This window comes from Homo sapiens, chromosome 21 (assembly GCF_000001405.40).
Source record: "Homo sapiens chromosome 21, GRCh38.p14 Primary Assembly".
In the NCBI taxonomy this organism is placed as follows: Eukaryota; Metazoa; Chordata; class Mammalia; order Primates; family Hominidae; genus Homo; species Homo sapiens.
The window spans coordinates 29,376,888-29,392,881 of record NC_000021.9 but is presented as its reverse complement, the minus strand read 5'-3'; the positions used below and the strand labels follow the sequence as shown (position 1 = coordinate 29,392,881).

Below are 15,994 nucleotides of genomic sequence, written 5' to 3'. Positions count from 1 at the left end.
CTAATATCCAGAATCTACAAGGAACTTAAACAAATTTACAAAAAAAAAAAAATTAAAAACTGGGCAAAGCATCGTCTGGGATGTGAGGAGCGCCTCTGCCCGGCCACCCCGTCTGGGAAGTGAGGAGCGCCTCTGCCCAGCCGCCCCATCTGGGAGGTGTACCCAACGGCTCCAAAGAGACAGCGACCATCGAGAACGGGCCATGAAGACGATGGCGGTTTTGTCAAAAAGAAAAGGGGGAAATGTGGGGAAAAGAAAGAGAGATCAGATTGTTACTGTGTCTGTGTAGAAAGAAATAGACATAGGAGACTCCATTTTGTTCTGTACTAAGAAAAATTCTTCTGCCTTGGGATGCTGTTAATCTATAACCTTACTCCCAACCCCGTGCTCTCTGAAACATGTGCTGTGTCAACTCAGGGTTAAATGGATTAAGGGCGGTGCAAGATGTGCTTTGTTAAACAGATGCTTGAAGGCAGCATGCTCCTTAAGAGTCATCACCACTCCCTAATCTCAAGTACCCAGGGACACAAACACTGCGGAAGCCCGCAGGGACCTCTGCCTAGGAAAACCAGAGACCTTTGTTCACGTGTTTATCTACTGACCTTCTCTCCACTATTATCCTATGACCCTGCCACATCCCCCTCTCCGAGAAACACCCAAGAATGATCAATAAATACTTAAAAAAAAAAAAAAACTGGGCAAAGGACACGAACAGACACTTCTCAAAAGAGGACATTTATGCAGCCAACAAACAAATGAAAAAAGTTCAACATCACTAGAGAAATGCAAATCAAAACCACAACGAGACAGCATCTCACACCAGTCAGAATAACAATTCTCAAAGTCAAGAAACAACAGGTGCTGGTGAAGCTGTGGAGAAATAGGAATGCTTTTACACTGTTGGTGGGAATGTAAATTAGTTCAACCATTGTGGAAGGCAGTGTGACAATTCCTCAAAGACCTAGAACCAGAAATACTATGTGACTCAGCAGTCCCATTATTAGATATCTACCCAAAGGAATATAAATCATTCTATCATAAAGATACATGCATATGTATGTTCACTGCAGCACTATCGACAACAGCAAAAACATAGAATTAACCAAAATGCCCATCAATGATAGACTGGATAAAGAAAATGTGGTACATATACACCATGGAATACTATGCAACCATAAAAAGAAAAGAGATCATGTCCTTTGCAGGGACATGAATAGAGCTAGAAGCCATTATCCTCAGCAAACTAACACAGGAACAGAAAACCAAACACTCCATGTTCTCACTTATAAGTGGGAGCTGAACAATGAGAACACATGGGCACAAGGAGGGGAACAACACACATTGGGGCCTGTTTGGGGAGTGGGGGAGGGGGAGGGAGAGCATCAAGATAAATAGCTAAGGCGTGAGGGGCTTAGTATCTAGATGACGGGTTGATAGGTGCAGCAAACCACCATAGCACATGTATACCTATGTAACAAACCTGAATGTTCTGCACGCGTATCCTGGAACTTAAAATAAAATTAAATTAAAATATTTAAAAGAGAGCATGGGGCCTTGCAAACAATATGAGACTAAGGAAAAAGGGAACAACAACTATAGACTCAGAGACAGAACCAATCTCTGAAAATTATCTACTGAAAGAACCAGAATTAAGCTGTAGGAAACTAGGTGCTTTCAACGGGCCACAAGACAGCCTGGCTTCTTCAAGGAGTCACAAAAAGTGAATAGGTTGACATGAACTCAAGAAGAGATGAAAAGATGAAATTAAATTAAATCTCAAGCTGAGATTTTAAAATCATAATAATAACACACTACTTACTAAAAGGAGGCAGATGATGTGCGCAGGAAGGGCAGAGGAGAGAGACTGAAAGAATAATAGCAGGGAAAAAGAGCACATGAAAAGCAGATGTCACCATGACAAATCAAAGGCATCTGGTGAAGGGCAAATTTCAGAACCTTTTAAAAGAAAAGGGAAAAACAAAGATACAAGTGACGAGCAAGATGATGATCTTGAAGGAGAGTTTGGAAAGCCAACTAAATAATTTAGTGTCTTTCTTAGGAGAATACCAAGATAATTACAAGCAAAGCAATAACCAAAATCATCAACAAAGAAAATGTATTTGAGCTGAAAAAGCCTTAACTGTGCAAGCAAAAAGACTCACTCCCCATGATCCACAAAATAAATAGATGAATATATAAATTACACATAAAGCATTCTGAAACTATTTTATAACTACAAAACAGAAAGACATCTTGTAAACATTCACTTGGAAAAAACCTGGTCACTAAGAAAAAACGAAGTCAAGATGATCTTATACTTCCATATAGCATTAAGTTTCAAACATACACACACAGGAAATGTTTACAGAGTTTTAAGGAAAACAATGTGGAACGTAAGAATTTTCAATTCAGACAACAGGAAAAATATTTTTAAACACCTAAGATCTTATATACGGGCTTATAATAATACCTTTCTTGGGAAAAAAAAAATCCTAAAAATGTCTTTAAGAAAAGAAAGAAAGAGGCCAGGTGCCGTAGGTCATGCCTGTAATCCCAACACTTTGGGAGACCGAGGCAGGCAGATCATTTAAGGGCAGGAATTTGAGACCAGTCTGGCCAACATGGTGAAATCCCCTCTACTAAAAATACAAAAATTAGCTTGGCGTGGTGGTGCACGCCTGTAATCCCAGCTATTCCAAAGGCTGAAGCCTGAGAATTGCTTGAACCGGGAGGTGGAGGTTGCAGTGAGCCCAGACTGCGCCACTGCACTCCAGCCTGAGTAACAGAGTAAAACCCTGTCTCAAATTAAAAAAAAAAGAGAGATGGAAAGAAAAATTAAGATCACAAGCCTGAGAGCATTGTATTAGAAAATAAATAGTATCAAGAACTGAAATTATTACTGTGGTGAATTTAATCTAAATAAGCATTAATACAAACACAAATACAAATGATACAAAGTAAACTTAAAAAGAAAAAATACATGAAATTCTTATAAATAATGTAAGAGTAATTACATGGGTTGTATTAGCAAAGTCTAGCATGGTAGAAGACAAATATAAAAGTGCAATAAATTTATCATGCTATTTCAAATGAGGACAAATGATCAAATTCCTTGATAACTAAAGAAAAATGTGTTAAAGAATGTATCTTTAAAATTTAAAGTCAATTACTAGAAGACTCTGAGGAGGATATGTAACTTCCACATCATGAGAAACTGAAACAAACAAAATATGGCTCAAAATCAGAAAATATAAGACAATAAAAACTGCGAAGTAGAGTAAAAATACAAACTATTAAATAACATGATATTGAAATAGCTAAGATAAACTAAATTAATAGTGGCTTTAAAACATGTGGTTTTGATTTCTTATTTTAAAAAATCCAGAATTAGACCATTTTGTGGTTCGTAAGTGTGATGATTGGGTTTGCATGCTCATGAGTGAGACGTGCCTCCCTCAAACCTTGTTACATCATTAGCACATTAAATATCTGACATAAAAAAGTGGGGGAAAGTCAGAAGCAGGCAGTCTGGGCGGACATAGAAGTTCCACAGTCACTGGGGACCCCAGATATGCTGAGCTTCCTGCATTGCTATACTAGTGTGTGTGGTCCTTTGCCAATATGGATTCTCCAGCTAAAAATATGATGTCTGGAATTTACCCTGCAGAAAGGAAAAAGGAGAAAGATGCATAATACCTACCCTCCAAGTATACTTTCTGGAAGTTATACCTATGACTTCAGCCTTCATCCATTATTTGTAACTCAGTCATATGCCAAACATTCCACAAAAGAGCATGGAAAATTAATAACGACCATTCAGGAGGGCCTCTGGTCTTTGCGCAGCTAAAAATTGAGGATTCCCATCTTTATTCAAATAATTTTAGCAGATCAAATTAGGGAGAAAAAGTGTGTAAAGAGCAATGTTCTTTGGAAAAACCAATTAATTTTCAACCATGAAAAAATGAAAACAGGTAAGTGCTAGAAGTAAATGATGGATGATTATTTTCATAATCTTAGGCAGAAAAAGTCTTTCTAAGAAGTTCTAAATTAAAACTTTGATATTTAAAAGATTAAATATGTAATCCTTCAACATCAAAAACATAAAGATAACAAAAATTAAAAGTAAATGAAGATCTGGGAAAATATACTTAGACCATATATGATAATGAAGTTAGCACTATCATATATAATGATATAATAAAGTCATATATCGTAATGTCATTGTTTCTATAACATATAAAGAAATGTTATAAATCAAGGAAAAGATGAACGCCTTAATATAACGATAAGTTAAGAACATGAAGCAATCTGAGAGACAAATACAAAATGGCAAACACAGGTTCAAGAAAAGTTTTACTTCACTAATAATCATTGTAGTTAAAATTAAAATAATGAGACACTATTGTTCTCATACAAATTGTCAAATTTTCAAATTTGCCAATGATGGCAAAAACACTTTGAAATAGGAAATATGCCACTTAATATTAGAAAAGCAAAACTTGGAGGTGAAATCCCAAGTTTCAAAATTATTTAATGACCATTGACCCAGTAAGTCCTAAGATTCCATTCTAGGGACTATGTATAGATTATACATAATATACATCTATAAAGATGTATAAAATAGTGAAAAATTGGAAAGAGCCTGTGTCAAATGAGAGTTTTATTAAAATAAATGTGCCCCCAAAGGTGTCCTTTTTATTGTATCCAAAAGTGCCCTATACTTCTCCTATGAGATTAATTGCATTATATGATTTTGAATCTACTTGTACAAAAGCATGCTTATTTTGTATCTGCCTAGGTACACAATTGTACCCTCTGGTAGATGGGAGCACCTTGAAAACAGGGCCATGTTGTCTTATTCAACAGTGTGTTCTCAAGAACCAGGCTTGGGTCTGTAAACAGTAAGAATTCAGAAAACGTTTGCCACTAAAAACAATAATGTAGAATTATTCTATTAATACAACACATGATTACAGTGTACCATGTGCCAGACACTAAGCTAAACACTAAGATTTGAAAGTGAGCAATGTATTCTTGACTCTCACGAAGATTGTATTTGTCAGAGGCATGTGAACCAGAGCAACTCCATCTTAAATAGGGGCTGGGCAAAATGAGGCTGAAACCTACTGGGCTGCATTCCCAGATGGCTAAGGCATTCTAAGTCACAGGATGAGATAGGAGGTCAGCACAAAGTACAGGTCATAAAGACTGTGCTGATAAAACAGGTTGTAGTAAAGGAAACGGCCAAAACCCACCAATACCAAAATGGCGACGAGAGTGGTCCTCACTGCTACACTCCTGCCAGCACCATGACAGTTTACAAATGCCATGGCAATATCAGGAAGTTACTCTATACAGTCTAAAAAGGGGAGGCATGAATAATCCACCCCTTGTTTAGCATATCATCAAGAAATAACCATAAAAATGAGCAACCATCAGCCCTTGGGGCTGCTCTGTCTATGGAGTAGCCATTCGTTTATTCCTTTACTTTCTTAAACTTGCTTTCACTCTGCACTGCGGACTCACCCTGAATTCTTTCTTGTGTGAGATCCAAGAACCCTCTCTTGGGGTCTGGATCTGGACCCCTTTCCTGTAACACATTCAGGATGGAAAACAGAAAAAAAAAAAAACAAATACAGCCACACATCACATAATGACATTCCAGACAGGCCACTTATACAACGGTGGTCCCCTGAGATTATAATATCATGTTTTCACTATACCTTTCCTACGTTTAGATACATAAATACCATTGTATTACAGTTGCTTACAGTATTCAGGGCAGTAACATGCTGTACAGGTTTGTAGCCCAGGAGCAATAGGCTATACCACATAGGCTAGGTGTGTAGTAGGCTATACCATCTGGGTTTGTGTAAATACACTTGTGATGTTTGCACAATGACAAAGACGCATTTCTTAGAACGTATCCCTCTTATTATGCAACACATGATTATCATAAATATTTATATAGTGTGAAAATGGCTATGAATATAATCATCAAGAAGATAAAATAGAAAATAACTGAGGGAGATGCACTTTAATTACACCAGTCAGAAAAAGCTTCAACATGGGCCAGGCTCACACCTGTAATCCCAGCACTTTGGGAGGCCAAGGCGGGCAGATAACTTGAGGTCAGAGGTTTGAGACCAGCCTGGCCAAACTGGCGAAACCCTCTCTCTACTAAAAATACAAAAGTTAGCTAGGCATGGTGGCATGCACTTGTAATCCCAGCTACTCAGGAGGCTGAGGCAGGAGAATCGCTTGAACCTGGGAGGCGGAGGTTGCAGTGAGCCAAGATTATGCCACTGCACTCCAGCCTGGGCGACAGAGCAAGACTCTGTCTCAAAAAAAAAAAAAAAAAAAAAGAAAAAGAAAAAGAAAAAGCTTCAACATGACAATATTTAAGCTGATTTCCAATGGATAAGAAGTCACACATGGCAACAGTACGGAGAAAAGCATTTTAAGCAGAGGGTACAGCAGATACAAACAGCCTGAGGCAGGAAGATTTAAGTGTGTTTGAATAAGACTGACTCTGGTGTAGGGAGTAGCTTAACCTGAGGCTGGAGAGATATCAGGAGACAGGATCTGTAGAGCCATCCAGCCCTTGTGCAGAGTTTGGATTTATTACACATGTAATGAAAGCCGCTGAAGGTTTTAATGTAAGGTTTAATTTATGTTCTTGCTCATAATGTGGAAAATGGATTGTAGAGGAACAAGTATGAATTGAGAGACCCTTCAACGAGGTGCTGACATAGTGCAGGTGAAGGATGAGCCATGGCCAGGGTGTTCACCATGGAGACAGAGAAAAGTTGACAGTCAAGATATTTTAGGGGGAACAATCAAATGGAGTTGCTGCAACTGCTATATAGGGGTTATGGGAAAGGGAAAATCGGGACTGACTCAGATTTCTGAATTGGGCAACCGACGGATAATGCTGCCATTTATTGGCATAGGACAGATAGAGGAGGAATTGATTCATGCAGGGGAAATGAGAAGTTCTATCTTGGACACGTTTAATTTGAGATGTTTGTAAGACATCCAGGTTGAACTGTCAAGTAAGCAGAGCTGGATATGGTGCTCAGAAAAAATGGGTTGAAGACACAAACTTTGGAGTCTTGAGTCATAATGAGATTTTTAAAGCTGTGAATTAATGGAACCACCCAGTGAAAAATGATAACAGGAGAAGAGAAGAGGACCCAATACTGTCAACACTTAAAAGGAGAAATAGCAGCTGGGAGAAACCAGTGAGTTTGGAAAGCAGAGAACCAATGGCCTGATGATAACCAAGAGAAGAGTATTTTGAGAAACAAATGGCCCACTCCACCCAATGCTGCTGAAAGGGTAAGATGAAGACAGAGAAGTGTACATTGCATGTGGCTATGTGGATTTCCAGTGACCCTGAGGCAAGAAATTTTAGTACAGTGACGGGGCTGGAGAGGAACCAGACTGGAATAAAAAAAATGAGTTAAAAAAGTGGAAATCACATAGTTAACAACTCTTGAGAAGTCTGGCAATGCAAAATAATACAGAAATGGATGGGAGACAGGGGAGACAGGGAACCAAGGAAGTGACTGTGTTTGTTGTTGGTGTTGTTTTTATGATAGGGTTGGTAAATTAGAATATGGTTACAGAAATGATCCAGTAGATGATAAGGGCAAGTTGATAAAGGAGAGAAGATAACCAGAGTGAAGTGTTTTAAAAGGTCAACGAGCATTGGATACAGAGAAGGGGAGGGACTGGACTTTGCTAGGAGAGAGAAAATGCCCTCCATTGTGCCAGGAGGAAAGAAGGGAGCATTAGCTGCAGAGGAGTTTTTGTTAAGTTTTCATCGGGAATGCTAGAGTCATCATGTGAAGGTTTTTACTTCACTGAAGTGTGGAACAAGGTCAATAGCCCAGTGAGGACTAAAGAGGGAAGGGTTGGGGGAGGGTTTGAGGAGAATATATGAATAGTTCTGGGAAACACAAGAAGGTTTCTGGGTCACAATGCATGCCTGTGGAGGCTTTAGATCATCAAATGAAGGAAATGGTTCAGTTAATAGTCTCCAGTAACAGACACAGGTGCAGAGGTGAAGAGGGTTGAGGTTTGGCTAGACATGTGCAATGAGGCTAAGATGAGGGGTAGTTGAAAGCACTTCTGACAGAGTGACTACAATGACAGGTTGAAGAGTATTTAATGATATATAAAAGAGCAAGACAATAGAGGGAAATTTGACATTTATAAAGGGGAATCTTTTTGAGTGGGAAGAATACAGGTAATTTTCATTTTCCTCTTTATGTGGGGCTTTATTCTCTAAATTTTCTATAATAGGAATATTTTAATACTAAGTACAGTTGTATTTCAAAAATAAACAGGATAGTAGGCAAGCAGTTTTACACTGAGTTTAAGAGCAATCCTATTAAACAACGGGGAGACAAATTTAGCATTCATTACAATGGATTGTCAACTGAAACTCATTGATTCAAATATGTTAAATATTTTAGATATATACAACGTATCAAATCTTTTAGTATATTAATATATAACAGAAATATATATATTAAATGTGTAAGTTCATAATGATATTTTGAAAAATGAAAACCACACTAATCATTTTTGGCTGTTGCTGGACTCATTGCTCTGAAATTGGATAAATAAAGGTACAGAATACAGCATTTACCTTGCCTCTCATTTATGAACTGTGCTTCAGGTTAACCAAATAGATGTGAGGGAAAGTTCTTCTCCACAGAAGAATTCTAATTAAAAAAGAATGATTATTAGAAAAATAATTCGAAAAATGTCATTTTGCAACCCCTGCCGAGACAATGGATTTTGGCAAGAATCATAAATGGTAGTTGATGGGAAAATTGATAATGGGTGAATGATGACATCTAAACCCATCAACTTCAGCATCATGAAAAGTGGGACAAGTAGACATTGGGTGCCTGTTGATTTAAACACTGCCCATAAAATATTTTTGCCCCCTGAAAAAAATAAACCTAAATTTAATTGTGTTTCTTGACTTAACTGCCAGTTAACAAGAAATATGGGGTATATAAACAATACCACAGGATACAATCACATAAGACCAGGATGTGGGAAATTCAACTGGAAAAATGACATATTTTCAACAAATAAATGGCTTGAAAAAAAGGGGGAAGAGAAAGTGTTAAATAATAATAGAGGATTAAGAGATATATCAACCAAAATCAACAAAGGAACTCATACAGCTCCTGATATGAACAAATGTACTATTCAAAATTTTTTTGAGGCCGGGCACGGTGGCTCACGCCTGTAATCCCAGCTCTTCGGGAGGCCAAGGCGAGTGGATCACGAGGTCAGGAGATCGAGACCATCCTGGCTAACACGGTGAAACCCCATCTCTACTAAAAATACAAAAAAATTAGCCAGGTGTGGTGGTGGGCGCCTGTAGTCCCAGCTACTTGGGAGGCTGAGGCAGGAGAATGGCATGAACCCAGGAGGCGGAGCTTGCAGTGAGCCGAGATTGCGCCACTGCACTCCAGCCCGGGCAACAGAGCGAGACTCCATCTCAAAAAAAAAAAAAAAAAAAAAAAAAAAAAAAAAAAAATTGAGACAAGGCAATTTGAACATGGACTGATGATATTTAAAATAATAATTTTGTTAAGTATGGTGATACTATTGTGGTTATATTGTCTTAAAGCCCTTATCTGCTAGAGATTCATATTAAAGTATTTACCAATAAAATTAGTGAAGTCCTGGTCATTTTAGACCAATTGTTCCAGAAGTGACTGTTAACTTCCTAGACTGTTGCCAGTGATAGCATGTGACCCCCTCCAACTCTGACTTAAAGCAGGCTGGTTTCCTGGGCTGTTTGTTGGAAACAAGGGGTTGGTTTTCTGGGCGGGCAGGTGTAAGCTGTTCTATTTTTATATATGCTCTGGTTATTGTCTTTGTATATGTGCCTCTCATTTCCAAATCAATTATCATTTAATGTGCCACTGAACTCTTGGTATAATTCAGATCCAGAATAGGGAGGCTACTTCTATGGAAATGTAGTTCCCACAGCCAGGGGAGGCTTCACACAATTCCACTTGGATGAAGGTCTACATACGTGGAGACGAGCTGAGAAATGGTGGTAAGAAACAAATTGGAGTTAATAGCTGCCAGATAGAGATCAGGCCACAAGGAAACCAAGAGTGGGGACTGACTAAAACACAATTGACAAAATATTGACAATTATTGAGACTGAATTAATGGTACCATCAAGTTTTATTATGCTATTCTCTCTAATTCTGGGTATGTCTAAAAATTTACATAATAAAAAATTTAAAACAGAGTTGAAATGAAAAAGACAATGTACCATCAAAATCTAAGAGAGCGTTAAGACCAGAGACTCATAGAGTTCTTTCAGAGCCTTTCATCACCTGCAATTTTATATATCAATGTGCGCTGATGTTCCATTGGACTGACATTTGCCTGTTTCCAGGATAAGCTCCAGAATATAATTTGAGCCATCCAGCAACTCACGAAGAACTTCTTGCATTTGGCAGAGAAAGAAACAGTTGCTAGACTCACTAAAGTACCCATCCACTTCATTCTTCAAGCAGGTGAATGACTATGATGGGGTTAAAATTCCCAGCTAATTACCTCCCAGCCAGCATTTTAACTGGCTGACTCATACAGATTCCTTAAGATAGAGCAGAAGAACAAGAAAACATAAGCAGTAGCTGTGTGCAGTCAAATGTACAAATATTTAACTAGCTTACTCCACCAGTGCACAGTTTTAATACATAGTCTGAGAGCATAGAATGTAGATACCAGCATTGTATGTGAGGCTGAGACGTGGCAATTTAGCAAACCTTATGGAGTAATTAAACCATCTAGAATTTCAGTTCAGAGAAATCTAAATGGGAGAAGCATCCAGCTGTCAGGAACATGTCGGTTTTTCTTTCTCTCTTCCCTTCATCCTTATGCCTTTGGGACCTGGGATCCTTCAGGACCTCCGTGGCCTTCTCACAATGATCTATACCTGCAACCTTTTCTATGTCCAGGTCCTACCTGGTCAAACCATACCCCTATTCCTACCACCACCAACACTGCCTACACACACACACACACATACACACACACACAGGCACACACATACAAGTGTGCTGTGGAATTCATATTAACTTATAGATGGCACAATAGCAGCGGATCTGAAAGTGTGGTCCTGAGACTGGCAGCATCAGCATCCCCTGAGGACTTATTATACACGCAATAAATTCTTGGGCCCCATCCCAGGCCCACAGAATCAGAAACTCTAGGGGCACGGCCTAGCACTCCAAGTTATAACCAGCCCTCCAACTCCTTTCAATCCATAAAAACCTAAGATCAGGTGAATATAAGGTATTCTTATTTTACACAAGAGGCAGGGGAATAATTAATAAATCAAAAGATATACAGTCAATGTGAATTAACTCTAGAAAAGAGTAGGGAGGAGTAAATCAAATAATACAAAATAAGCGTTAAGTGACTTACTGTTTCAGCACACTCATCTTCCAAATTGAGTCTAATATAAAATCAGTTTGCATTTAATCAATTTGCCAAAAAGTATTCCTTGAACACCTTTGATATCCATTTCTTCAAAATACATCAACCAATGGAGACACCCAGAAAGGGAGTATTTGGGGAATTCTCTGAAGGATTTACAATTTAAAAATCACAATATGAGTAATATGCATATGTATGAAGGATATTATAGTCAACTCTAAAGTGATTCCTGAAAAGTTAGAAAACACAAAACAGTTTCTACAGTATTCTCTCCTCTACCTCTCTCTGCCTAGAGTTAAGAATAATAAAGGTCAGGGCAGGGTGTGGTGGCTAACGCCTGTAATCCCAGCACTTTGGGAGGCCAAGGTGGGTGGATCGCAAGGTCAGGAGTTCGAGACCAGCCTGACCAACAAGGTGAAACCCCATCTCTACTAAAAATACAAAAATTAGCCAGGCGTGGTGGCAGGTGCCTGTAATCCCAGCTACTCAGGAGGCTGAGGCAGGAGAATTGCTTGAACCCGGGAGGTGGAGGTTGCAGTGAGCTGAGATCATGCCATTGCACTCCAGCTTGGGCGACAAGAGCAAGACTCCATCTCAAAAATAAATAAATAAATAAATAAATAAATAAATAAATAAATAAATAAAGATCTTATTCCTATAATTTTAGAGGAATAAATAAGAAAAGCATATGCAAAGACTATGGATTTCTAGTCTGCATCCCAGTTCAAATGTGAAGTAAATTACCGTTAAATTTGGATTGAAAACAGGTATGCTTCATATAGAGCTTTATAAGTTTTAGGTCATGTTGACAAAAACACATACGCGCTCCACTTCTTTGCAACATCTTTGAGGAAAGAATTTCTAGAATGAGGATTCTGGAGTACAAATATGTGGGTAACGTTTCTAAGTTCCCAGAATACATATGATTTCTCATAATTAAAATGCCTAGCATTTTTCTTTTACTTTGATTTTTATTAGATTATAAAACTGGTGGGATAATTATTCATGTTAAAAAGAATTATTTCCATGTTTTAAGCTATAAGTATATTTCAAACTCTTTTCATATTCTTTTAATTATGATGGGACAGTAGAGTATTTATAAATGTAGAAAAAAGTCACTTAGATGATAATATTTCAAAAACTGCCTGCATTCTTTTAAATTAATAAACCTGAAGCCATCTTTTGCAGAAATAACTGCCTTAAGCTTCAAAAAGTTTTCAGTTTGAAAGTAGCAAAGTTCAAAATTTTAACGAGTTGTTTTATTAATATTGTAAATTTCTGTGGTGACAGGAAAAATTGGAGAAGTGATCTATGGAGGAGATTCAAAGCATCCTGAAAAACAAACTCCTCTTAAACTTTTACGGAATACAAGATTCTTATTTTTCCTCTCCATTTTGCCATTTTGCTAACGGCCTTTACTATTATTTTGATTATCTAAATGTAATTGAATTTATTTCTGTGGAAACTAAATGAATATAAACCAAAGGAGAAAAGAAAAGTCTACTTATTCAGGGCTTGCTATAACAAGGGAGTCGGCCACCATCAGTTGCATTTTGGCCAAGAACTCAAAGGCAGGCAGAGTGGAAAAGCCCTACAGTGGAAAAGGGGGAAGCCTTCTCATGTGCCTTGATTGCAGGCAGCTGGCATGGGGAAGCTGTGGGCCGCCTAGCTAGAAACTGGCATCCTGTTGCATATTTGCATTTCTCTGGTTGGTCCTAAGTTGGAAGTGGGGACAAGAATTAGGGAAGCTGTCAGTCATTCTTCAAGTCCTGGCCGTTTTAGACCAATTGTTCCAGAAGTGATTGTTAAGTTCCTAGACCGTTGCCCTAGATAGCATCTGACCCCCTCCAAGTCTGACTTAAAGCAGGCTGGTTTCCTGGGCTGTTTGTTAGAAACAAGGAGTTGGTTTTCTGGGCAGGTAGGTGTAAGCTGTTCTATTTTCATATACAGTCTGGCCATTGTCTTTGTATATGCAGTCTCTCATTTCCAAATAAATTATCATTTAATGTGCCACAGAAATATTGGTATAATTCAGATCCAGAATAAGAAGCCTACCTCTATGGAAATTTAGGCCCCACGAATGGGGGCTTCATATAATTCCTCTTGTATGAAGGCCTATGCACATGGAGACAAGCTGAGAGGACGTAGTAAGAAACAAATTGGACCTATCAGCTGCCGGATAGAGACCAGGCCACAAGGAAAGGTTTAGAGCAGCCTAGCACAAGCAGATGCTTTTCAGCAACCCAGGGTAACATAAATGAGTAAAGCCAGCCAACTCTAGGACAGGGAACAAGAGGGGAGACTGGGAATTGAAGAATGCCTGCTTAGCCTAAAGGCTCTCAAACACATACCATATTTCAAAATCACTCCGAATACCAAACAAAACTAATCTACTGGAAACATGGCCCAGAGGCCTGTCTGTTTGGCCTCCCGCCCAATCTGATATTCAGCCAGTACGCAATGGTTTGGCCATACTGATTGGTCAGTTACTGATTTGATCAGGCACCCAAGACAACTGGTTATTAAATATGCATTTTGAATGGCACCTCACTCTAAAGCAAGAGGGTCAGGGCAATCCCCCAAAACTGGTGGTTGTCAAGAATACATGATTTGGGATGTAGTTTTCCAGGTAGGCTGATGTTTTCTTACTGTCTAGGCACTGGGTAATTTGTGTCAAGCTTTATGTGAATTGGGAAGTCATGAGAACCTGAAAGATGGAATCAAAGCAAAAGTAGCCCTGATGAGAAAAGGCTACTCTTTTCCTGATAAGTTAGAGCCACAAGGGAGCTATGAATCTCAGAGTCACACCTCCATGTTAGTCACCTAAGTGGACTACAGGGAGAATCACTGGGGCCTTTAGCCATGAAAGAGATACATCAACGCAGTGATCAGAGCATCAGGGATGCTTGGGGGGCATCAGGAAAGGAAGGCTGTGCAGAGAACAGGATGGAGAGGATAAAGGAGGGCATTGATTCTGACTACTTCAACAAGAGGCCTGCCATCCCCACTGATAATATGAGCATTACCCCCATGGCCCGTTCAAAACGTCATGGCGATAGAGGTTTAGGGGGTATTTCTGGATGGTGCTTAGGGCAGAGACACTGTCTTTACCACTTCATATGGTAACAGGCCCCTGCACCCTTCCACAATAACTTCTATTTTTTTTTTGAGACAGAGTCTCACTCTGTCATCCAGGCTGGAGTGCAGTGGTGTGATCTCTGCTCACTGCAACCTCCACCTCCTGGGCTCAAGTGATTCTCCCACCTCAGCCTCCTGAGTAGCTAGGATTACAGGCGCACACCACCATGCCTGGCTAATTTTTTTGTATTTTTAGTAGAGACGGGGTTTCGCCATGTTGGCCAGGCTGGTCTCGAGCTCCTGACTTCAAATGATCTACCTGTGCCTGGCCTTCCACAGTAACTTCTACTTCAGGTTAAAAAAAAAAAAAATAGCCTGAAGGTGCATTTAATGTACATGTTTTTACCAGCTGAATTTTTTACAACAGGTAATCCTATTTCTATGATAATAAATTAACAGATTCCATTTGAAAAAAGAAAAAACTTCAAGAATTTGCACTTACACACAAGTATGGTGAGTTATTTACTAAAATAGCCAAATAATATAGACACAGTTTTAAAATACTTTAAAAAAAAAAAAAGTTAGAAATCCAATAAATTCTGGGGTTTCTGCAACTAAACTCTTATAGTAAATGTAATATGAATTTTTTTCAAGTTACTTCTACTTAATGGAAATGCATTATATACCAAAATGCCTTTCCTGGTTCTGGAAAACAAGTGTTCCTCTCCTAACTTTGTGCATTTTTAATTTCTGCTCTTAACTCGAAAATATCTACTAGGGGACAGTGATGCTGCTGTACTGTGGGCCAGGTCACCCTTCAAGGCCACAGGCCTTTGTACAATCGAACAGGCTTCTCTTGACGCACCATTTCCTGGCAGTGTGCTCAGGCATGTTCGTGGCCATTTCAAAACTTCAGTTCCAGAGACTTTCAACTTAAGTCTTCAAAGTGGACAGGTAGATAATATGGATCTTTTGTCCTGCATACAGTGGTGTTGATGGGACTATTTTCATTGTTGCAGAATTGGTGACCAAGACCCAGAGTCAAAGGCAAAGACATATCAAGAATCTCTCATTCTGAAGAGAGCTGCCAACAGCTGGAGGCCATATACTCCCCGAAGACTTTTTATTAGGTTGGACATAACCAGCTCTGCTGCTCCCAACTATCCCCAGGCCCCTCTCATTCCCCTACCCCATACAAGCAGAAGATTGGGAAGAGGGGGAGAAAAGGGGTTGCTTTTTGTGGGTCATCAGTACAGACAGCCTTGATGTTTTCCAGGAAGGAAGAGAAGAAAGGAAGGGAAGCACTCATAGCCATTGCAGGTGTCAGGAATAAGAGGATTTGTCTTGATCTACAGTGGGATATCTGCTTATGGGCAGGGGAGATAAAAACTTACATGACAGAGAGGGGCCAGCAATGGGAAGC

General features: G+C 39.1%; 1 non-coding gene across 1 annotated transcript; it reads left to right on the top strand.

Annotated features, from left to right (window-relative positions):
* The first annotated feature begins 3,391 nt into the window (after positions 1-3,391).
* LOC124905071 (small nucleolar RNA U13) lies at positions 3,392-3,495 on the top strand. The gene has a single exon (XR_007067950.1). It is a non-coding gene; the product is annotated as a small nucleolar RNA U13 (small nucleolar RNA).
* The last annotated feature ends 12,499 nt before the right edge of the window (positions 3,496-15,994 follow it).